At 41.4% G+C, this 24067-nt stretch overlaps 1 protein-coding gene and 1 non-coding gene across 11 annotated transcripts; one reads left to right on the top strand and one right to left on the bottom strand.

Moving 5' to 3' along the window:
* Positions 1-2528: 2528 nt before the first annotated feature.
* Positions 2529-23897, top strand: NUDT13 (nudix hydrolase 13). 10 transcript variants are annotated; one of them, NM_001283016.2, is made up of 10 exons: positions 2529-2641; positions 6431-6522; positions 11525-11596; positions 12092-12231; positions 14249-14383; positions 16288-16394; positions 17192-17317; positions 17472-17583; positions 18747-18901; positions 22777-23897. In NM_001283016.2, the coding sequence occupies exons 6-10, from the start codon at positions 16308-16310 to the stop codon at positions 22975-22977; spliced, it is 681 nt and encodes a 226-aa protein (NP_001269945.1). In that variant the 5' UTR covers positions 2529-2641; positions 6431-6522; positions 11525-11596; positions 12092-12231; positions 14249-14383; positions 16288-16307; the 3' UTR covers positions 22978-23897. The 10 variants fall into 10 exon arrangements, 9 of the variants coding, with proteins under 9 accessions (NP_001269945.1, NP_001269946.1, NP_056985.3 ...); NR_104264.2 differs by lacking the exon at positions 11525-11596 and having other exon boundaries at positions 18709-18901; NM_001283017.2 differs by lacking the exon at positions 16288-16394.
* Positions 18154-18281, bottom strand: SNORA11F (small nucleolar RNA, H/ACA box 11F). Its single transcript, NR_145776.1, has one exon. It is a non-coding gene; the product is annotated as a small nucleolar RNA, H/ACA box 11F (small nucleolar RNA).
* Positions 23898-24067: the final 170 nt, after the last annotated feature.

The following is a 24067-nucleotide window of genomic DNA, read 5'->3' on the forward strand; positions in this document are numbered from 1 at the left end:
CAGTCTGAGCTATTTTTATTATTATAGCACTTAACAATTACTACAAAAAGTTATTTTGACTTTTTAAATTATTAGAGCCCCAATTTCCCCCTAAGCATCCTTAGAATCCATTGACTTTATATCTTGTTTCCCTACAATTTTCTGTGTCTTCCTTAAGGATAATGAACCAATCTGATTTTTTTTTTTTTTTTTTCAGACAATGTCTCGCTCTGTCACCCAGGCTGGAGTGCAGTGGCGCAATCTCAGCTCACTGCAACCTCTGCCTCTCGGGTTCAAGCGATTCTTGTGCCTTAGCCTCCCAAGTAGCTGGGACTACAGGTATGTGACACCAGACCTGGCTTAATTTTGTATTTTTAGTAGGGTTTCACCATGTTGGCCAGGCTGGTCTAAAACTCCTGACCTCAAATGATGTGCCCACCTCGGGCTCCCAAAGTGCTGGGATTACAGGCATGAGCCACCATGCCCGGCCTACTCTGATCTCATCTCTGATCACCATGCTCTTTCCTAGCCTTTCCTCAAACGGCACACTCCCACCCCAGGGCCTTTGCATATGCTTATTTTGCTCTGTCTACAAATCTCTTTCCATAGATATAAATTTGGTTTCTTCATCACCTTCTTCAGGGTCTTTGTTTAAATATTATCTTAACAATGAGGCTGACCATCCTATATAAAATAGCAAAATAATCCCTCTACTTATCTTGCTTTATTTTTCTTCTTAAGCTTTATAACCACGACACATTGTATATTTACTCGTTTGTTTCCCCTTCTAGAATGTAAGTTACATGAGGACAGAGATTTTCATGTTTTGTTCCCTGCTGTATCCTATCCCTATAACAGTCCTAGGCACATTGGGTACTCATTAAATACATGTTGAATGAGTGGACTTCTTCTCTTGGCTGGGTGCGGTGGCTCACGCCTGTAATCCCAGCACTTTGGAAGGCTGAGGCGAGTGGATCACTTGAGGTCAGAAGTTTAAGACAGCCTGGTCAACATGGCGAAACCCTGGCTTTACTAAAAATACAAAAATTAGCCAGGCATGGTGGTGTGCACCTGTTATCCCAGCTGCTCGGGAGGCTGAAGCAGGAGAATCACTTGACTCCGGAGGAGGAGGTTTCAGTAAGCCAAGATTGTACGTACCACTGCTCTCCAACCTGAGCGACAGAGCAACTCCATCTCAAAAAAAAAAAAAGTGTCTTCTCTCATAGGCAAGTAACTTCAGTAGTAAAACGAGAAGAGAGCAGCACCAAAGTAGCTCTGCTGAGAGGTGAAGCCAGCTGGACTTCCTGGGTGGAGTGGGGACTTGGTGAACTTTTCTGTCTAGTTAGAGAATTGTAAATGCACCAATCAGCACACTGTAAAAATGCACCAATCAGCACTCTGTGTCCAGCTAAAGGATTGTAAACACACCAATCAGCACTCTGTAAAAATGCACCAATCAGCGCTCTGTGTCTAGGTAAAGGATTGTAAACGCACCAATCAGCACTCTGTTTCCAGCTAAAGGATTGTAAACACACCAATCAGCACTCTGTAAAAATGCACCAATCAGTGCTCTGTGTCTAGCTAAAGGATTGTAAACACACCAATCAGCACTCTGTGTCTAGCTAAAGGATTGTAAATGCACCAATCAGCACTGTGTCTAGCTAAAGGATTGTAAACGCACCAATCAGCACTCTGTAAAAACGCACCAATCAGCACTCTGTGTCTAGCTAAAGGATTGTAAATGCACAAATCAGCACTCTGTCAAATGGACCAATCAGCACTCCATAAAATGGACCAATCAGTGCTCTGTAAAATGGACCATTCAGCAGGATGTGGGCAGGGACAAATAAGGGAATAAAAGCTGGCACCCCCAACAGCAGCGGCAACCTACTCGGGTCCCCTTCCACGCTGTGGAAGCTTTGTTCTCTCGCTCTTCACAATAAATCTTGCTGCTGCTCACTCTTTGGGTTCGTGCCACCTTTAAGAGCTATAACACTCACCGAAAGCTCCACGGCTTCATTCTTGAAGTCAGCAAGACCAAGAACCCACTGGAAGGAACCAACTCCGGACACACTTCTAGGAGACTACTTCCAGTCAAATGGAATGCGCTTCCTCTGATCAAGAAATGAATCCTACCATAAGTTCAAACATATCTATACATACCTATACAGAGTCCCATCCTTTTAAATTGGAAGAACTTCATGAAATTTTAGAGCTAGTTCTAAAGTGTGCAGAGAGAGAACTAGAGATATACTAAGGTTAAAAGGTATTTGATTCCCACCCCTGCTTCATCCTCTCCCCAGCCTCATAATATATGCCTTCTGTGTATGAGGGTGGACTTAATGACTTTATCTTTTTTTAATTAAAAAATGGATCTAATACTAACCTACTTTCTCCAAGGATACAGTAGTTCTCTTGGTAATAAGATCTTAGATGTTCATGCTTTTGACAATCATGGTTAACTTGCAGCTGGAGAACACAGCAGCATGCCTGGGAACTGAACTACAATTCCCAGAGTGCATCTCTAGGAGGATTCTGGGAAGTGTGGCAGAAGCAGCAATGGTCCCTCCAGGGAACGGAAGCCGTTGAACGTGAACATTTGGAGTTTCCTCTTTTGTGCTGATTCCTGAGGACTAGGAAGGTGCCCCGAAAAGAATTCAGAGTGAGTACAGTGAAACAGAAACCTGCTCAGCTTCTAAGTGCAGGAAGGACTTCACAGGGAGGCATGATCAGAACTTGAAAAAAGGTCGTGGTCACAGCATTTTAACATTTTAGCTTAATCTCTTCCTTTTTGCAGAAACCAGGGATATAACCATAGTTTTGCCTCATAACTGTGGAGCTACATCAGTAACCACAGCTCATCATTTTCTGATACTTTTTTGGAGAGTCATTTAAAAATGGAACTTGCCAACCTCTCACATTGTGCCTTAATTTTTATTTTTTTTTAAAGGAGGGAAAATTATTTTTTAGAAAGCAAACTATAAAGCAGGTCAGTGAGACCTTCAAAGCTGTATTCCCGTGGTTCCTCAGTTTTCCATATTTCCCTGTCCCATGGAGGTCCACAGTCGTGGAGAAACGGACTCTAAACACAGGCGAAGTATCACTTGGTCGCCCAGGCTGGAGTGCAGTGACACGATCTCCACTCACTGCAAGCTCCGCCTCCTGGGTTCATGCCATTCTCCTGCCTCATACTCCCTAGTAGCTGGGACTACAGGCGCCCGCCACCACGCCCAGCCACTTTTTTTTGTATTTTTAACAGAGACGGGGTTTCACCGTGTTAGCCAGGATGGTCTCGATCTCCTGACCTCGTGATCCGCCCACCTCGGCCTCCCAAAGTGCTGGGATTACAGACGTGAGCCACCGCGCCCGGCCTAAAAAAAGGTCTCTTAAATACTAGGGAACCTGGCCTCTTCACGGTGGAAGTAACCACTAGATTCAAGATGGGCTTTTTTTGTTTTGTCTTGTTTTGTTTTGTTTTTTTGTTTTGAGACGGAGTCTCGCTCTGTCGCCCAGGCTGGAGTGCAGTGGCGCGATCTCGGCTCACTACAAGATGGGCTTTTTTGTCACGCTGTAGTACTTTATAATCTTTCTTCTGGAAAGATGAACAGGATAAGAAACGTGTGAATCATTTGTGTTGGGGAGTTCAAAGAAACTCTTAATGTTAAAGCACCTTGCCTCATCATTTAGTAGTTGGGTAAGACTGCTATTACCTTTCATCTCTATCAAACATTGTACTTTTAAAAACATAAATAGCTCTGTGACCATCAGCTCATGAGTCAGCAGCCATGATAATCTACAACTGGCTAAGGTTAATTTAGTAGCAGAAACTAGGCAAAACATCAGGCAGCAGTTCCCAAGGTCCAAGAAACTCACCAAATGAATTCCCTTTGGCTCATGGAATATGGTGAGGTGTTTTGGGGAACAGTGGCATGGAGGTAGCCTCATTAACCAGTTAGTCTCAGGAACTACTATTTTATTAGGCTTTTCTTTTGTCTTAAAAGGAATAAGTACACATGGCTAATTTTTTTTTCAGTACAGAAAAATGAACAAAATAAAAATTACAGGCACCTTTTTCAATATTTGTCTTCATCCCACTCCCCCAAATTAGTCACTCTTTAATAGTTTGGTATGTATACTTCTAGTCATTTGAAAAATATAAATAAGGCCGGGGGCAGTGGCTCTTGCCTGTAATCCCAGCACTTTGGGAGACCCAGGCAGGCAGATCACCTGAGAACAGGAGTTCGAGACCAGCCTGACCAACATGGAGAAACCCCATCTCTACTAAAAAAAATACAAAATTAGCTAGGCGTGGTGGCGTATGCCTGTAATCCCAACTACTCGAGAGGCTGAGGCAGGAGAATCGCTTGAACCCGGGAGGTGGAGGTTGCGGTGAGCCGAGATTGCGCCATTGCACTCCAGCCCGGGCAACAAGAGCGAAACTCCGTCTCAAAAAAAAATAGAAAGAAAAATATAATTAAATACATATAATTTATGTATATTGGTATGTCTGTGTCCTTTTTTTTATAAATAATTAGGTCATGTTAACCAACTGTTACCTGTTTTTTTCTCCAGCTTTATTAAGGTATAATATTAAGGTATTAAAGTATAATATATACTTTTTGACAAAAAAAGTATATATTTATAGTTTACAATGTGATGTTTTGATACAGGTATACATTGTGAAATGATTAAATCTAGCAAATTAATATATTCATCACCTCACATTTTTTGTGTGTGTTGAGAATATTTAATATCTACTTTCTTAGTAATTTCCAAGTATATAATATATTATGAACTATAGTTACCATACAACACAATAGATATCCAGAATTTATTCATCCTAACTGAAACTTTGTACACTTTGACTAGTATCACCTCCAATTCCTCCTTGCTTTTTTTGTTTACTTAATAATGTGTTCTAAGTCTCTCTCCCTGTTACTATATATATATATTTTTTTCACTGTTATATTATTTTCTATTTGTTCTTTTTCTTTTTTTTAAGACGACGTTTTGCTCTTGTTGCCCAGGCTGGAGTGCAATGGCACGATCTCTGCTCACTGCAACCTCTGCCTCCTAGGTTCAAGCGATTCTCCTGCCTCAGCCTCCCAAGTAGGCAGGATTACAAGCGTGTGCCACCACGCCCAGCTAATTTTGTATTTTTAGTAGAGATGGGGTTTCTCCATGTTGGTGAGGCTGGTCTCGAACTCCTGACCTCGGGTGATCCGCCCGCCTCGGCCTCCCAAAGTGCTGGGATTACAGGCGTGAGCCACCGCACCCAGCCCTTCTATTTGTTCTTAAGTCGCGTATTAATCCATTTTATCATAATTTTCAGTTAACGTTCTTGTACATATCCTTTCCTTCCTAGGGTAAATTCCTAAACATGGAATTGCTGAGGAAAAAGAGAGGCTTATTATTTGACACTTTAATAGATATTTCCAAATCAACCTGTAAAAATATCATACCAGTTTACATTCTGAGTGGTGTATGAGCCAGAAATAATGACTTTAAATACATTTTTTATAGTATATCACACTAGTTTTGGGGTTATTAAAGTAGGAATAATACTTTTAATAATCTCCTAGAGTGCTTTGCAACCCACATATTGCATACTGCCTTCTGTGAAAGCTGGCTATATATTTGTTTTCTCTCTCCTGCTAGAGTTCCTTGAGGGCAGGGATTTTCATCTTTTACATTTTTGTGTTCTTTAAGGGACCCTGAATAAAGTCAGTACTCAATAAATACTTTGTTGAATGTCATTTGCTAAATATATTTTACCCATGGCTAGGACATAGATTGTAGCCAAAACTGTCCAAGAATTCATCATCAGTGATTCATAATTATGCAACCAAGAAGTAGGACTAAATTTTAGATGTTCCTCGGTCATTTAGTGTCAAAGCTGGCTTTCCTCAGACACAGTGAAAAGGGTGGTTGGTTATTTAACTGTAATGAATTCTTGACTTTTTTTACTGCCAATGTGAGAGGTACTTTTCATGGGGAATAAAATACTGATATACAATTTAAAGGGACCATCTTGGCCAGAATGGATTATTTAGTTACAGATTTTTTTTCTTTCCCAATGAGCAACAAAAAAATAGAAAATATCTTGGATCCATGTGAATTTGCATAGCTGCCTTCTGAAAAAATTTCCTAATGTTGTGACTTTATATATTCTTATCTACAGGATTCCTTCTACTTCATTCTTACTCTAAGTGGGTAGAACAGGTTTCAGTTTTCTAGATCATGAAAGAAGTACTGAAATGTTGAGATCCCATAGCTACTTAGGGGTAGAAATGCAATTTAGAAACAAGATCACCTGACTCCTATTGAGTTTGTCTTTCCTTAATATTACAGAGTGATCCCATTCTGGCTTAAAGTATAACCCTCTTGGCAATTCATTACTTTAAATTTCATATTATGACTTTTTTTAAAACTCCTTTTTTTTTTTTTTAAGGACCTGACAATGTCCCTGTATTGTGGAATAGCTTGCAGGAGAAAATTTTTTTGGTGCTATAGGCTGCTGTCAACCTATGTTACTAAGACACGGTGAGTTTTAGCCAACCTGAGCTTTGATTATTCTGTTTGGCCCATTAAACTATTGTGATATTATGATTTTATATATATATTTAGGTTTATGATTATTATATATACATTATATATTACTATATTTGTGTGTGTGTATATGTGTGTGTGTGTATATATATATATTCATATATATATATATTCATCCATGGTTTCTGGCTCATAACTCCTATGGCCCTTATTACAGTCTTTTGTTATAATGTGGGGCACTTTAGACCTCAGGGGCAGGCCTCAGGAAACAAAATCTCTTTTACCTTCTCCTGTCCTCCTTTTACCTGCCCATGGCAGGACTCTAATCTGATTGCGGGTCCAAAGACCCTCATTCCAGAGAGGGTTGTGCCCCATACTCCGGAGGAAGGAAGGCTGCACAGAGAGGCCAAGGAGAACCTGAACAGACAGGCATTGCTGGGTTTCCGGTCAGTCTATTATTATGAAATCATAACCATTTTGTCCAATCAGATTTCTACATGGTTGTCAATCATGCCTATGTAATGAAGCCACCATAAAAACCCAAAAGGACAGGGTTCAGAGAGCCTCTGGATAGCTGAACACATGGAAGTTCCTGGAGGGTGGTGCACCCAGGGAGTCATGGAAGCTCTGCACCCTCCCCCCACATACCTGACCTAAATGCATCTCTTCATTTGTATCCTTCGTAATATCCTATATAATAAACCAGTAAACATCAAAAAATATATATTTTTACTTTTTTAGAGATGGAGTCTCACTCTGTCACTCAGGCTGAAGTGCAGTGGTACAATCTTGGCTCACTGAAGCCTTGATCTCCTGGGGTCAAGCGATCCTCCCACCTCAAACCCCCAAGTAGCTGGGACTACAGGCATATGCCACCATGCCTGGCTAATTTTTATATTTTTGTGTAGAGACAGGGTTTTGCCATGTTGTCCATGCTGGTCTGAACTGAGCTCTGGCAATCCACCTGCCTTGACCTCCCAAAGTGTTGGGATTACAGGCGTAAGTCACCAAACCTGGCCGAAAAATTTTAAACAAACTAAATATCCAATAATATCTAAAATATCTCACACACTTGAATATAAGTTCTATTAAGATCAGACTTTGTCTTTCCACTGTGGTACCCCTACTTCATAAAACAGTGCCTGGCACATGGTAGGCACTAAAGTACTGTTGAATGAATGAACAGTAAGGGAGAAATTAAGTAAATTAAGGTACTATAATAGAATAATAAACATGTTAAAATTATATTGTTCTATTCCTGTCACTTCAGATGAAAAAAACTGTATTGAATAATATTTCATGAAGTTTCCTATAAATAAAGTAGATAACCCCACCCCCTTCCCCCAAGAACTAAACTTCAGTGAAAGGTAGAGTAGGAAAACAAAATCTACAATAGCACATGAAGATGATAAAGACTTTTTTGTCTTAGCCTAGGGAAATTAGAAATCTGTGAATTTGAAATCACTAGCCTGCTTTCATACAGTTTTGGGGGTTAAATTTATACCATCTATGTGGTGTGGTTCTAGAACCCTTAACCTAAGAAATAATTTTTTTTTCTTTTTTTTCTTTTTGAGACAGGATCTTGCTCTGTCACACAGGCTGGAGTGCAGTGCTATGATCATAGCTCACTGCAGCCTCAACCTCCCAGGCTGAATCAATTCTCCCACCAAGTAGCTAGGATCACATGCGTAGCTACTTGTACACCACCATGCCTGGCTAATTTTTTTTTATTGTTTGTAAGGTAGGGTCTTGCTATGTTGCCCAGGCTGGTCTCAAACTCCTGGGCTCAAGCAATCCTCCTGCCTTTACCTCCCAAAGTGCTGGGATTATAGGCATGAGCCACCATGCCCAGCCTAAGAAATGAATTTAAGTAGTAATCTTGGACTGAAAATACCCCTGGGGCACCATGTGAATACAAATATAAAACTCCTTAGGAAGTACACACTCACAACCAGTGATTCCAATATATAAAGCCCTATCAAGCTCCAAAATTTAGAGGCATATAAAGGCTGGGTGCAGTGGCTCATGCCTGTAATCCCAGCACTTTGGGAAGCCAAGGCGGGCAGATCACTCGAGGTCAGGAGTTCGAGACCAGCTTGGCCGGCATGGTGAAGCCGTCTCTACTAAAAATACAAAAATTAGCCAGGAATGGTGGCGTGCACCTGTAGTCACAGCTACTCAGGAGGCTGAGGTGGGAGAGTCGCTTGAACCTGGGAGGTGGAAGTTGCAATAAGCCGAGATCGTGTCATTGCACTCTAGCCTGCATGATAGAGTGAGACCCTGTCTCAAAGAAAAAAAATTAGAAGCACATAAGCATATAATCCTACATGAACAAGAGTGAACAAACAACAAAATTGTGATACTTGTTTCAGATATTGTTGGACATTTAGATTGCGTGTACTCCTTTAACAGACTACAAGAATTTTTTTTTTTTTTTTTTTTTTTTTTTTGAGATGGAGTCTTGCTCTGTTGCCAGGCTGGACTGCAGTGGTGTGATCTCAGCTCACTGCAACCTCCACCTCATGGGTTCAAGTGATTCTCCTGCCTCAGCCTCCTGAGTAGCTGGGACTAAGGCACACGCCACCACGCCCAGCTAATTTTTGTATTTTTAGTTGATATGGGGTTTCACCATGTTGGCCAGGATGGTCTGGATCTCTTGACCTTGTGATCCACCCACCTCGACCTCCCAAAGTGCTGGGATTACAGGAGTACGCCACCACGCCTGGCCAAGAATATTAACATAATTATTAAATAGAGTCTAAAATTTAAGTATGTTAAAGTGATTAAATAAATCTATTTAAGAATGAATAAAAATAATGAGGTCAGGCACGGTAGCTCACACCTGTAATCCCAGCACTTTGGGAGGCTGAGACGGGTGGATCACCTGAGGTCAGGAGTTCGAGACCAGCCTGGCCAACATGGCAAAACCCCATCTCTATTAAAAATACAAAAATTAGCCAGGTGTGGTGGCGGGCACCTGTAATCCCAGCTACTTGGGAGGCTGAGGCAAGAGAATCACTTGGACCCGGGAGGCAGAGGTTACAGTGAGCCAAGATCGTGCCACTGCACTCCAGCCTGGAAAACAAGAGTGAAACTCAGTCTCAAAAAAAAAAAAAAAAAGAATAAAAGTCTATCAATAAAGAATATGATGTGAAAATGTTTACATATGTTTAAGAAAAAAGGCTACAAATTAGTAGGTTTGATGGATTCTAAATATACTTATATATGTATTGATGTATAATAGTAATCGCTTAGAGAATTCCAAAGTGTAAACAGTGATTATCCCTGAGTGGTGGGATTTTGATGATTTTCTTTTCAAAAAATTGACAATTGTATATTCTGATTATTAAAGATTGACTATTTTTTACTGTTAAAATAAGGAAAAAGTTTGTTTTAAAATAATCTAAATATTTTCAACTTTGATAATCATAGCAATTTCTATGCTATTATAACTGAAAAGGGAAAATACATTTTTAAAAATAAGAGTTCCCAATCCAGAGGAGTGTAAGGAACTTTTGGATCTCAATTCCAGTTCCAGTGAGGCCCTGGGTCTAAGACCTTAACCTGGGTGTTTTTGTAGGTGTTTTGCTTTTTAGGGTCATTAGGGCAAGTACAGGTTGTACCACTCTTTCTGTTCTTTTACGAAGGCAGCAGTGTTTGTTCTATTGTTTATATTTGGTAACTTCTGAGTGACACGTCTCTCCTTTGACATGCATTGAGTCTTTGCCCCAGGAGGCTACAGTGACTCATAAGTTTAAAAATATCACAATTCTTAAAAGATCAGGTTTCTTTTGTCTTCTATTTATAAAGAGCTCATCGTAACCCCTTTTATCACAGTCAAGAGTAGGTTCTGAAAGATAGCACTGGGGTGCATTTGTCTTTTTGCTTTTTATTTTCATGTTGAGCAAACTCTGCCTACTGGTATTACATGAGTTCTCAGATCCCACAGGAAATATCTGCAAACTATTTTTCCCACTTGACAAAAGAAGCCAGTTTTTACCTGAGCGTCTGTTTTAGGGCTTTTGACAGGCAAAAATGGCTAATCCCAAGGCCCCAGGGGAGTCTGCATTCTGTCCCTGCTGATCACAAGGATTTGAAGGGAGAGACTCAGCCCACCCTTAATGAAGGTACTGGAAAAGCCTGGTACTTACCCCATTACTATTGCCTGTTTTTGAGAAACCAAGAATAGGAGGATGTTCCCTTTTTCCACATTTTCATTTTGGCTACTGAAAATACTATGGCTGGGTGTGGTGGCACACACCTGTAATCCCAGCACTTTGGGAGGCCGAGGGCAGATCACTTGAGGTCAGGAGTTCGAAACCAGCCTGGCCAACATGATGAAACCCCGTCTCTACTAAAATACAGAAATTAGCTGGGCATGGTGGGGCATGCCTGTAATCCCAGGTACTCGGGAGGCTGAGGCACGAGAATTGCCTGAACCTGGGAGGCAGAAGCTGCAGTCAGCTGAGATCGTGCCACTGCACTCCAGCCTGGGTGACAGAGTGAGACTCTGTCTCAAAACAAAAAAAGAAGGAAAATGAAAATACTATCCTTATTAAATAGGTTAAGTATAGGTTTCATCAATGCTCCCTTTGTTTTCTTTTTTTTTGAGATGGAGTCTCGCTCTGTCATCCAGGCTGGAGTGCAGTGGCGTGATCTCTGCTTACTGCAACCTTCGCCTCCCAGGTTCAAGCGATTCTTCGGCCTCAGCCTCCTGAGTAGCTGGGACTACAGGTGCGTGCCACCATGCCCAGCTAATTTTTGTATTTTTAGTAGAGACAGGGTTTCACCATATTGGCCAGGCTGGTCTCGAACTCCTGACCTCGTGATCCACCTGCCTCAGCCTCCCAAAGTGCTGGGATTACAGGCGTGAGCTACCACGCCCGGCCAGGTGCTCCCTTTGCTAGAGATAAGGAGTTAATGGTATCTACTTTGGGATCTAGATGTCTGAAGTAAGGGTACATTGAAGGTAAAATTTGTTCTTTATCTTCCCTAGATTGAATGAGGGTCACTGAAGATACAGTGTTTACTCTTTGTCTGCTGTGAAAAAGTCTGTTCCCATCTCTAGGTATTTTGTGGTTGATGTTTTATCACTGTACTTGTTTTCCTTTCACTCCACTGCATGTAAATTCTTGCCTCACAGTGTAATATTGGCAGAGTAACTTGAAGTTCAATTCAGTAAATATTTATTACCCTTGAAGTTCAATTCAATAAATATTTATTGAATCGAGCCATTCAATATGCTAACTACAGAGATACAGAGCTGAGTAAAGCATACCTTCCCCTTAAGGAGATCATAGTCTCTCAGAGGAGACAGACAAATGAACAAATAAACCAATAGTGCAACCACAGAAGTATGGGTGAGGTACACAGTAAGACAAAGGAGGGAATGAATGATTATCTATAGCCACCTCAAACCCTTTTTGGAGCAAATTAGGTTGTAAATAAATAAAGGGAAATAACCATGGTAAGAGAGGGATGCAGCGACAGCATTCTCAAAGATGAATGCTATACAGGTAACTAAGGGTGGTTTTGTAATGGTTTGATTATTTCCCAAATACAGGTATTTATTTGAACTGAAGGAAGATGATGATGCATGTAAAAAAGCCCAGCAAACAGGAGCGTTTTACCTCTTTCATAGTCTGGCTCCTCTGCTTCAGACTTCAGCACATCAATACCTGGCCCCCCGGCACAGCCTGTTAGGTAAGTCCAGAGTGGACCAGTGGCGTTGACCAGCCTGTGGCCACTACGCAGAATTCAGCCCATAATGAATTCTAAGAAAGATCCTTGAACTTTGGAGTCTAGATTTTTCAGAAAGCTTTTGAGTCTCATGCTTGTATAACTGCTTCTGCCAACTAATAATTTATTGTATGAACTCTAGTTGTCCAGTCAAATATTATTTGGTGATGAAATGAACCACTAATGCCTTAAACCAGGGGTTGGTAAAACTGCTGTCCAAATTGTATCTGCTACCTGTTTTGTAAATTAATTTTTATTGGAACATAGACGTACTCATTCATTGACATATTGTCTATGGCTACTTTTGCACTACAATGCAGAGTTGTGACAGAGACTGTATGACTCACAAAGCCTAAAATATTTAGTATCTCTTTCCAGAAAAAGTTTGCCATTCTTTGCCTTAGAGCAGTGAATTCCAGCCTCCACAGAGGTACACAGTTATGCTAATTCAGAGTTCCATCATGGCCAGGCGCGGTGGCTCACGCCTGTAATCCCAGCACTTTGGGAGGCCGAGGAGGGCAGATCACGAGGTCAAGAGATCAAGACCAACCTGGCTAACACGGTGAAACCCGTCTCTACTAAAAATACAAAAAAATTAGCCGGGCGTGGTGGCGGGTGCCTGTAGTCCCAGCTACTCGGGAGGCTGAGGTAGGAGAATGGCGTCAACCCGGGAGGCGGAGCTTGCAGTGAGCCGAGATCACGGCACTGCACCCCAGTGTGGGTGACAGAGCGAGACTCCATCTCAAAAAAAAAAAAAAAAGTTCCATCATAACTTCATTTTTACTAGAAGGGTCAAGATTAAAAGTGAATTAAAATGAATTTGCTTTTAGAACCCTTTTAGCATATTTAACTAAAGATATCTAAGCCATTGGGGTTTGTCATTCAAAATGCAAACTTTGGCTGGGTTGGGTGGCTCATGCCTGTAATCCCAGCACTTTGGGAGGCTGAGGTGGGTGGATTGCTTGAGCCCAGGAGTTCAAAACCAGCCTGGGCAACATAGTGAGACCCCGTCTCTACCCAAGAACAAAAAATTAGTCGAGCCTTGTGGTGTCTCAAAGACAGAAAACAAAATGTGAACTTTCAGTTTTATATGAGTCACTATATACTAACTTCCGTATTGCCAGTGAATTTCTCCCATAGGTCAGAAGTTGGAGTACTTGGATAAGTAGTTTCTAGCACTGCAGAAGAATCTGAGGACTCCATCAGAAGGCACTAAACATTATTTAGAGATTTAGCAATGTTTATGTTGTATTACGGTTTTTGTGTGTGTTATGTTGTATTATGAACAAATAAATATGAGTCCTTCATGAACAAGTGTATAGGATTTCTCCCTACACATCACTCATCTCTTAGAGATTGGCATCTCAGATGAGTATTTTACTCTCGTCCACAAAAGTAGCACATTCTGGAGGTTAATTATAGAACTGGATTGGTCTTTACCTGCAGCCTTGAACTCCTTGGCTCAAGAGATCCTCCCATCTCTGCCTCCCAAGTTTTTGGGACTACAGGTGTGCACTTCACTGCACCCAGCTGATTTTATTTTTTGTAGAGACAGGGTCTTTGCTGTGTTGCCCAGGCTGGTCCCAAACTCCTGGCCTCAAGTGATCCTCCCTGCCCCCCAGCCTTGGTCTGTACCATTTTAAGTGTGATACTTATTTTTTTTTCAATGACTTAATAAGTTAACTATCATGCATCTTACTAACTAGGGGATATTTTCCTTTCATGATACAGTCATAGAGTAATACAATGTTATACAAGAATTCCTTCTTTGGTCTAAAGTCCTCAGACTGCTAATGAGAAAACAGGCCTGGAGAGGTTAAATGGTTAGACCAAGGTTACATAGCTAATTAGCTGCAGTTGGAAGCCAAGTATACCCACTTTAAGCTGAAGTAGATGATTTTCTGTGAGTCTAATATGGCTGTAGTGATTTAATAGAAACCCTTGTGTTTTGCTTTTCTCCCTTCCCCTTTCTGTTTCTTAGAGTTGGAAAGGCTCCTGGGTAAATTTGGACAGGATGCACAAAGAATAGAAGATTCTGTGCTGATTGGATGCTCTGAGCAGCAGGAAGCATGGTTTGCTCTGGATCTAGGTCTGGATAGCTCCTTTTCCATAAGTGGTACATGACATTATTCCTAACGGGTACTTCCCAGTGGTCTTCAGAATTTGGGATTTCACATAATGGTAAAATTTAAAGGAAAATTTGGGGAATACAAAAGGTTATCAACTTTCTATTTTTTAAAAAAGGACATTAAAAAGTGTCATCTGCTATCATCATCATTTAAATGACAATAAAGGACATTTTAATGCCTTCTAAGTTAGGTGATGGGTACATGAATATTTATGGTATTAGTCTCTGTACCATTATACATTTTATTTATTTATTTTATCTTATTTTATTGAGACAATGTCTTGCTGTCACCCAGGCTGGAGTGCAGTGGTACAATCACAGCTCACTGCAGCCTTGACCTCCTGGGCTCAAGTGACCCTCCCACCTCAGCCTCCTGAGTAGCTGGGACCATGGGCATGTACTACCATGCCCAGCTAATTTTTAATTTTTTTTTTTTTTTAATAGAGATGGGGGTCTCCTTATGTTGCCCAGGCTGGTCTCAAACTCCTGGGCACAAGCAATCCTCCCTCCTTGGCCTCCCAAAGTGCTAAGATTATAGGTATGAGCCACCACACCTGGCCTATACATTTTGTATATTTCTTTTTTTTTTTTTTTTTGAGGCAGAGTTTCACTCTTGTTGCCCAGGCTGGAGTGCAATGGCGCGATCTCGGCTCGCCACAACCTTCGCCTCCCAGGTTCAAGCGATTCTCCTGCCTCAGCCTCCCTATTAGCTGGGATTACAGGCACGTGCCACCATGCCCGGCTAGTTTTGTATTTTTAGTAGAGACGGGGTTTCTCCATGTTGGTCAGGCTGGTCTCGAACTCCTGACCTCAGGTGATCCGCCTGCCTCAGCCTCCCAAAGTGCTGGGATTACAGGCATGAGCCACCAAGCCCGGTCACATTTTGTATATTTCAGTATTTCATAAGAAATGTTAAAAAACTTATAACATCATTCTAATTTCTTTTTTGAATACAGGTGAATAAAAATGTTTCCATATAGCTCTGGGTCCACAGACCTGCCATTGGGAACCACTTTGCTATTGGCTCATGGCTCCTGTCAGGCTTTCCTTCTGTCTTTAATGGTCTAGGTGTAAATGTAGTGATGCTGGGATGAGGTTCACATAGGAGCCATGAGGTCCCACTTCATCTCTTTTCCACGGATAAGCTAATGCAAATGTTCTTGCCCCGAAGAAGATCTTGAGAAATACTATGTGCTAATGTTTCCCAAACTGGCCTGAATGTAAGAATCACCTGGTGCTTGTTAAAACAAAAATAGAGATTGCTGGGCCTCACTCCATGCCAGCTGCTTTAGAATCTCCAGGTAGGGGCTTGAGAATCTTGCTTTTTAAAAAAATTTTATGTATATATTTATTTATTTTGAGATGGAGTTTTGCTGTCACCCAGGCTGGAGTGCAATGGTGCGATCGGTTCACTGCAACCTCTGCCTCCTGGGTTCAGGCGATTCTCCTGCCTCAGCCTCCTGAGTAGCTGGGATTACAGGCGCCCACCACCAAGCCCAGCTAATTTTTGTGTTTTTAATACAGACAGGGTTTCACCATGTTGGCCAGGCTGGTCTCGAACTCCTGACCTCAAGTGATTCACCCGCCTCGGCCTCCCAAAGTGCCGTACCTGGCCTTTTTTAAATTTTAGAGATGGGGTCTCACTGGAGTGCAGTGGCTATTCACAGGTAAGATCATAGCGCACTGTATGTAGCCTGGAACTCCTAATGGCCTCAAGCCATCCTCCTGCCTCAGTCTCCTGAGTAGCTGGGACTACAGGCACACGCCCCCCACACCTAGCTGAATCTTACGAGGCAAGTTTGGGAAACACTATTTTAACAGGATAGACTGGAGAGAGGCCCTGAGGCAAAGTTTGTCATTGTTTAATTTCATTATCTTTTCTAATTTTCTAGCCTCCTTACACAAACCTGAAATGGAGACAGAGCTCAAGGGGTCTTTCATTGAGCTGAGAAAGGCACTCTTTCAACTCAATGCAAGGGATGCCTCCTTGCTGTCCACGGTAGATTCTGATTTCTCATTCTGTAGGAAATTTAGTAGAGCAGTAAGTGTGGGCAAATCCATGTGTACACACAAGGCTAGAGTGACGTTTGATTTCTTCTTTTGCAGATTATAGTCCTTTCTACAAACACTGGCAGGACAATGTGCTGTAGGGAGATTGCTTATTCTTCCTTCTTCTGCCCTTGTTTTTGGCAGAACCACTGTCAAGATCATTGTCTCCTAAAGACATGCAGATCTATGGCAATAGGATCTGTCAGCCTCATAAACATTTTTAATGACCCACATAGCATGACATATACAGTATCATGTTTTCCCTAAGAGAAATTACTTTACATTGCTTTAATGACTTGCCCTCACAGCTTTAGATTTCACTTGCTAAAGTATTTTGATTGTGCATTTAATTTAAAAAGAAACCTCTAAACATTTTTTTAGTTGCAAAAAATTCCAACTTTACCAGGGAGAAGAACATTTTGGGGTGTTCAACTGTACTGGGAATGTTTTATTTTTAAGCTGGTTAGTGAATACATGGGTGTTCATTTTATTACCTCATATACTTCATATGTTTTAAATAATAATACATTTAAAAATATGCTTTCTTTTATTCAGATTTCTGATGCTAGAGGAATATGTTCAGTTAGTTTACTTGTCCTGAAATTTAAACAGTAACCATTTAAATTACGTGAGCTGTAAAGAGATTGGCATTTTTCTGTGAGTTGTTCCAGACACTAGGCCCAGTGCTGTTAAAGATGAGCCCCGCATTCTCTCCAAATGACACCAGGCCCATCATTGTGTTCCTAGGCTCAAGCTCTTCTCCGCTGGCATGATGCTCATCAGTTCTGCAGCAGAAGTGGGCAGCCCACCAAGAAGAACGTGGCTGGCAGCAAGCGTGTGTGCCCTTCCAATAATATAATCTATTATCCACAGGTAATTATTGCTGTAAGAGGACAGTAATCCAAGAAGACTGTGCGCTGCTTTGTCCTGGGGAAGGAAGCCTGTGCAATTCCTTAATTATACACTGCTTTAGCTCATTGGCAGGGCCCAAAGTGCCAGCATCTCAGTTTCCATTCCCCTTTCCTAGATGGCTCCTGTGGCGATCACGCTGGTGTCAGATGGGACCCGATGCCTGCTTGCCCGCCAAAGCTCCTTTCCCAAGGGAATGTATTCTGCCTTGGCAGGTTTTTGTGATATAGGTGAGGAGTTTAGGGGATATACAGGTGACACTGGAAGATATACAATCTTACTAATACAATCTTCTCTGTCTTGTTGCTATAGAGCTTGAATTCCCAAGCACATTCTTTTCTATCATGTCAAGAAAACTGCTTTCTGGCATTTTATATATATATATATATATATATATAAAATTTTTTCCTTTCCTTTTTTTTGAGATGGGAGTCTCACCCTGTTGCTCAGGCTGGAGTGCAGTGGTGCAATCATGGCTCATTACAGCCTCAACCTTCTGGGTTCAAGCAATCCTCCCACCTCAGCCTCCTGAATAGCTAGGACTACAGGCACAGGCTACCATGCCCGGCTAATTTTTAAAATTTTTTGTAGAGACAGGGTCTCGCCGTGTTGCCTAGGCCAGTCCTGAACTCCTGGCTTCAAGTGACCTACCTGCCTTGACCTCCCAAAGTGTTGGGATTACAGGTGTGAGCCACACTATTTTTTTAAGCAAATTTTCAAACATAGGAGATTGTTGAAAGAATTATACAGTGAACACCCATACACCCACTACCCAGATTCTATAATTTTTTTTCCTCTTCACATGTAGGCATTTGTTTGTAGGGAGGCCACAAGCTTTGTGCCTCTCATCACATTGACCCCAGATTCCTGTTGGGTGTGTTATAAACAGAGGAGCCATTCTTTAGGCCCCCTGCTCTGAGCACACCCCTAGATTCCATGAATTTTTACTACACTTACTTTATCACAAAGCTGTCCATCTATCCATTAATCTATCTTATTTTTTGATGCATAGATTGAAGATATTAGTACACTTCTTCCTATTTCAGCATGCGTAACATTTGCTAGAATTCAGTATTTATTTACAGGTTGGTTTTTTTCTCTAGTCTATTGGGGTCAAATTTGCAAATGGTGAAAAGTGGAATTTTATGAAAGCTGAGTGCAGTAGTCCCTCCTACTGTCACACTTACTTTAGACCTAGCAGACTTAAGCACTGTGGTTCAACACACAGCTCTGGACCTGATTCTTATTGTTGGAATGACTCAGAGTTTTAGGACACTCCCAAGAGCATTTCATTGAAACTTTGGAGCCAGTGTTGTGCACCTTTCTCAAATGGGCTGTCTGTATCACCCTTCTAGCCTACAGGGCTGTCCTGAATTAATCTGAGTGCTTGTAGGTGAAAGTGTGGAAGAGACCATCCGCCGAGAAGTTGCAGAAGAGGTGGGATTGGAGGTGGAAAGCCTGCAGTACTATGCATCCCAGCATTGGCCCTTCCCTAGTGGCTCACTCATGATTGCTTGCCATGCAACTGTGAAACCAGGGCAGACAGAAGTAAGTTCTCATCTTCCCTTATACTGTGATATTTCTTTTGCTTCATCCAACCTGCTCATCAGCAAGTACTTATTAAGCACTTGTCTAGTCCAGCATCATCTAGATTACATAAACATGTGTAAAATATGATTTAGGGCTGAGCACGGTGGCTCATGCCTGTAATCCCAACACTTTGGGAGGCTGATGTGGGCGGATCACTTGAGGTCAGGAGTTCAAGACCAGCCTGGCCAACATGGCAAAACTCCATCTCTACTAAAAATACAAAAATTAAGGCCGGGTGCGATGGCTCATGCCTGTAATCCCAGCACTTTGGGAGGCTGAGGTGGGCGGATCACGAGGTCAGGAGTTCAAGACCAGCCTGGCCAAGATAGTGAAACCTCATTTCAACTAAAAATACAAAAATTGGCTCGGCATGGTGGCAGGTGCCTGTAGTCCCAGCTATTTGGGAGGCTGAGGCAGGAGAATCGCTTGAACCTGGGAGGTGGAGGTTGCAGTGAGCTGAGGTCGCGCTACTGCACTCCAGCCTGGGCAACAGGGTGAGAATGCATCTTGAAAGTAAATTAATTAATTAATTTAATTAAATATGATTTATGCCCTCAAGGAATTTGCAACCTAGTAAAGGAAGCAAATAATCTCCATTCTCCCTTGCATATATGTCAATCACGAGACAATTTATTTTATTTTATTTTTTTTGAGACGGAGTCTTACTCTGTCGCCCAGCCTGGAGTGCAGTGGCGCGATCTCGGCTCACTGCAACCTCCGCCTCCTGGGTTCAAGTGATTCTCCTGCTTCAGCAGAGAAGTATATACCCTTGAAATTATCAAACCGTCATCACTATCAATGCCATAAACTTATTCATCACTTACAAAAGTTTCCTCCCACCCCTTTTATTTTTCTCCCACCCCACTTTTTTTTTTTTTTAATTTTGTGGTAAGAGCACTTGATGTGAGATCTATTCTCTTAGCAAATTTTTATGTGTATAATATAGTATTATTAATTGTAGACCTTATGGTGTACAGATCTTCAAAACTTATTTTGCATGACTGAAACCTGGTACCCTTTGACCAGTGGCCACCCTCCCTTCAGCCCCTGGCATGCAACTTTTTCCATTTTCCCCTCCCTTCAGCCCCTGGCAACCACCATTCTACTCTCTGCTTCTGTAAGTTTGACTATTTTAGATTCCACATATAAGTGAGATCATGCAATATTTGTCTTTCTGTGTCTGGCTTATTTCACTTAGCATGTCCTTTGGGCCTATCTATCTTGTTGCAACTGCAGGATTTCCTTCCTTTTTAAGGCTGAATAATATTCTATTATAGTATATACCACATTTTCTTTATCCATTCATCCATTGTGAATACTGCAGTGAACATGGGAGTGCAGATATCTCTTCAAGATCTAGATTTCAATCCAGAAGTGGGATGCTAGATCAAAGGGTAATTCTATTTTTAATTTTTTGAGGAACCTCCATATTTTTTTCCATAGTAGGTGCACCAACTTACATTCCCCACAACAGTGTACATGGGTTCCCTTTTCTCTACATCCTTACCAATACTTGCTGTCCGTTGTACTTTTTTAATGGTAGCCATTAAAGAAGGTATGAGTTAATAGTAGCCATCAAAGAAGGTATGAGGTTTTCATTTGCATTTCCCTGATGATTAGTGATGTTGAGCACCTTTTCACATACCTGTTGGCCATTTGAATACCTTCTTTGGAGAAATGTCTATTCAGATTCTTTGCCCATTTTTAAATTGGCTTATTTATTTTTTGGTATTAAGTTGTAGAAGTTCCTTATATATTTTGGATATTAACTCCTTATAAGATAGAGGGTCTGCAAATATTTTCTCCCATTCTGCAGGTTGTCTCTTCACTCTGTTGATTGATTCCCTGACTCTGCAGAAGCTTTAGTTTGATAGAATCCCTACTTGTCTATCTTTGCTTTTCTTGCCTGTGCTTTGGTATCATATCTAAGAGACCACTGCCCAGTCTAATGTCTAGAAATTTATTCCTTTATGTTTTCTCCTAAGAATTTTATTGTTTCAGGTTTTATATTTAAGTCTTTAATCCATTTTAAGTTGGTTTTTGCATATGATGTAAGATAACGGTCCGATTTCATTCTTTTGCATGTGGATATCCAATTTTCCCAACACTGTTTATATAAGACAATTTACCTTTTATTGTCAGGAGTTAAGAGTGTCTTACATATAGTAGGCGCACAATCAGGCATCATTTAATGACTGACTGCAGGATTGGTCTTATTGCTCAAGTCAGTCAGGATGCTGGGAACTAAAAATATAAAACTATAGGTACTTGTAGTTGAAAGAAACTTAAGACGTTGTCTTTTTTTTTTTTTTTTTTTTTTGAGATGGAGTCTCATTCTTGTCGCCCAGGCTGGAGTGCAGTGGCACAATCTCAGCTCACTGCAACCTTCGCCTCCCAGGTTCAAGCAATTCTCCTGCCTCAGCCTCCCGAGTGGCTGGGATTACAGGTGCCTGCCAGCATGCCCGGCTAATTTTTGTATTTTTATTAGAGATGGGGGTTCCACCATGTTGGCCAGGCTGGTCTCGAACTCCTGACCTCAGGTGATCCTCCCACCTTGGCCTCCCAAAGTGTTGGGATTATGGGCATGAGCCACCATGCCCGGCTAGACATTGTTTTATCCAATCTCATCTTGCACTTCTCTAGCATCACTGACTGATGGTCTCTGCCTGCCAAAGTTTGCCTATTGTATGTTTTGGTTTTTATAGAATATCTAATCTATTTCAGCTTCCTTGGGATGAAGTTTGCATTACTTTGCTTCTTGCAAAGATGAGACTATGCTTTTGACTATCATTAACCCTTACCCTTTAAAAAAAAAAAAAAAAGAGTGGCTGGGCACAGTGGCTCACGCCTGTAATCTCAACACTTTGGGAGGCCGAGGCAGGTGGATCACCTGAGGTCAGGAGTTCAAAAACATCCTGTCCAACATGGTGAAACCCCGTCTCTACTAAAAATACAAAGAAATTAGCCAGGTGTGGTGGCGGGTGCCTGTAATCCCAGCTACTCGGGAGGCTGAGGCAGGAGAATCATTTGAACCTGGGAGGGGAGGTTGCAGTGAGCCAAGATCACACCATTGCCCTCTAGCCTGGGTAAAAAGAGCAAAACTCCATCTCAAAAAAAAAAAAAGTAATATTTGTATGTTCTTTTTTAATTGAAAAATTTATACAATCAATAGAGACACAAGGAAAAATAGGTATTATTCATAATTTATTCTCAATGTTAACCACTCTTAACATTTTAGTATTTGTACTTCCAGGATTTATTTAATGTATCTTATCTTTTTTTTTTTACTATGTTAGAAATATATTTAACTCGGCCGGGCACAGTGGCTCACACCTGTAATCCCAGCACTTTGGGGGGCCAAGGCGGGTGGATCACAAGATCAGGAGATCGAGACCATCCTGGCTGACACGGTGAAACCCTGTCTCTACTAAAAAATACAAAAAATTAGCCGGGCATGGTGGCGGGCGCCTGTAGTCCCAGCTACTCAGGAGGCTGAGGCAGGAGAATGGCGTGAACCTGGGAGGTGGAGCTTGCATTGAGCCAAGATAGCGCCACTGCACTCCAGCCTGGGCAACAGAGAGAGACTCCGTCTAAAAAAAAAAAAATATATATATATATACACACACACACACACACATATAAAACTCTCATTTCTTAATTATGCCTCTTTTGCTTCTGGGCAGTATCTAGAACTGACTTTCACCTAACCTGAAGATCCCAGGTATTATCTTCTAAGATTGCTTAGTTCTAGAATCATTTTCTGACCTTTGGCCATAGTATTCTAAATTTTGTAGCTCCTGACCTTACATCCTTTTCTTCCTTATGTCTTTCAGATCCAGGTGAACTTGAGAGAATTAGAGACAGCTGCCTGGTTCAGTCATGATGAGGTAGCCACAGCCCTGAAGAGAAAGGGCCCCTATACTCAGCAACAGAATGGGACTTTCCCATTCTGGCTGCCCCCTAAGTTAGCCATCTCCCACCAACTGATTAAGGAGTGGGTGGAAAAACAGACCTGTTCTTCCCTGCCTGCTTAGCCCGGATCAAGTCACTTAGATCGCTCCTTGGTATTCCTGAGGGACAAACTAGAGATCAGTTGACAAAGGAGAAGTGACAAAAGATAAGCTGCAGAAGGACCTCAGAAGGGCAGAGCAAAGGGTGAGCCTACAGTAAGACACTTCTATCAGCAGTGTTAATGGAAGAAATTCCTACCAATGGGCAATCAAAAAAGCCAGTGTGAGAAGAAAACTGATGAGCTGTCAACTGTCAAAAATCAGGGGGAAGGGGGAAGCATTAGTTTGGATGTAGGCCCTTGTTCAGTCATTTTCTCTAAGGCCTTGGAAGCAAACATCTTCTGGCATATGGCTTGTTAATGTTGTGTTTACACTAACTGCCAAAATGTGCCTGTTGTAAGTTTGGTTAAAACTTTTATCTTAGTATTGAAAATATATAGCAAGTTTTAAGTCATTACTGAGTTACTTGTTACCCTTACAGAATTAAGAAAAATAGCACAGTATGACATTTTAAAATTCATGTACAGGTGCATTCTAGTTACATGAACATGCTAGTTAAATAAAAGTCACAATTAAGTCATTATGACTCAGAGTACTTTATAATAAATCAGATGCCCTGAGGCTCTGTTGAGGAAGTAGAATCCCAATGGGACTCCAGACAGTAAATCTTTTTCGCTGTTTTCAGCTCTGTCACATGCTCAGTTTGTGACCCAGGGAAAAGACTATTGCTTTGCCATGCCTGTTTTCCTAAATAAAACAGTTGCTGGCATTTGCACATCCACAACGTGTTGATTAACAAAGGGATTGGTGGAGATAAACAGATGCCAAACCTGACCTATTTCTTAAACTTTATGGAATAAACTAAATTTAGGATTTCTCATCATTCATATATGATGCCATAAGGGAGAAGAGTTTATTTGGGGAAAATAAAAGAAATTTCCACACCTTTGTTCTGATGTCTTTTTCTGTCCTGTGAATTGAGAAAATTTTACAAGGTGAGAATTTGGGGGTAGGGGAAAGGATCCCTATTGGTGACAATTAAACATTTAAGTCCAGGTTTCAAGTCAGTGTAACAACTGAAGCAATGTGCAGGAGGAATGTTAGAGGTCTTGCT

This window comes from Homo sapiens, chromosome 10 (genome assembly GCF_000001405.40).
Source record: "Homo sapiens chromosome 10, GRCh38.p14 Primary Assembly".
Classification (NCBI taxonomy): Eukaryota; Metazoa; Chordata; class Mammalia; order Primates; family Hominidae; genus Homo; species Homo sapiens.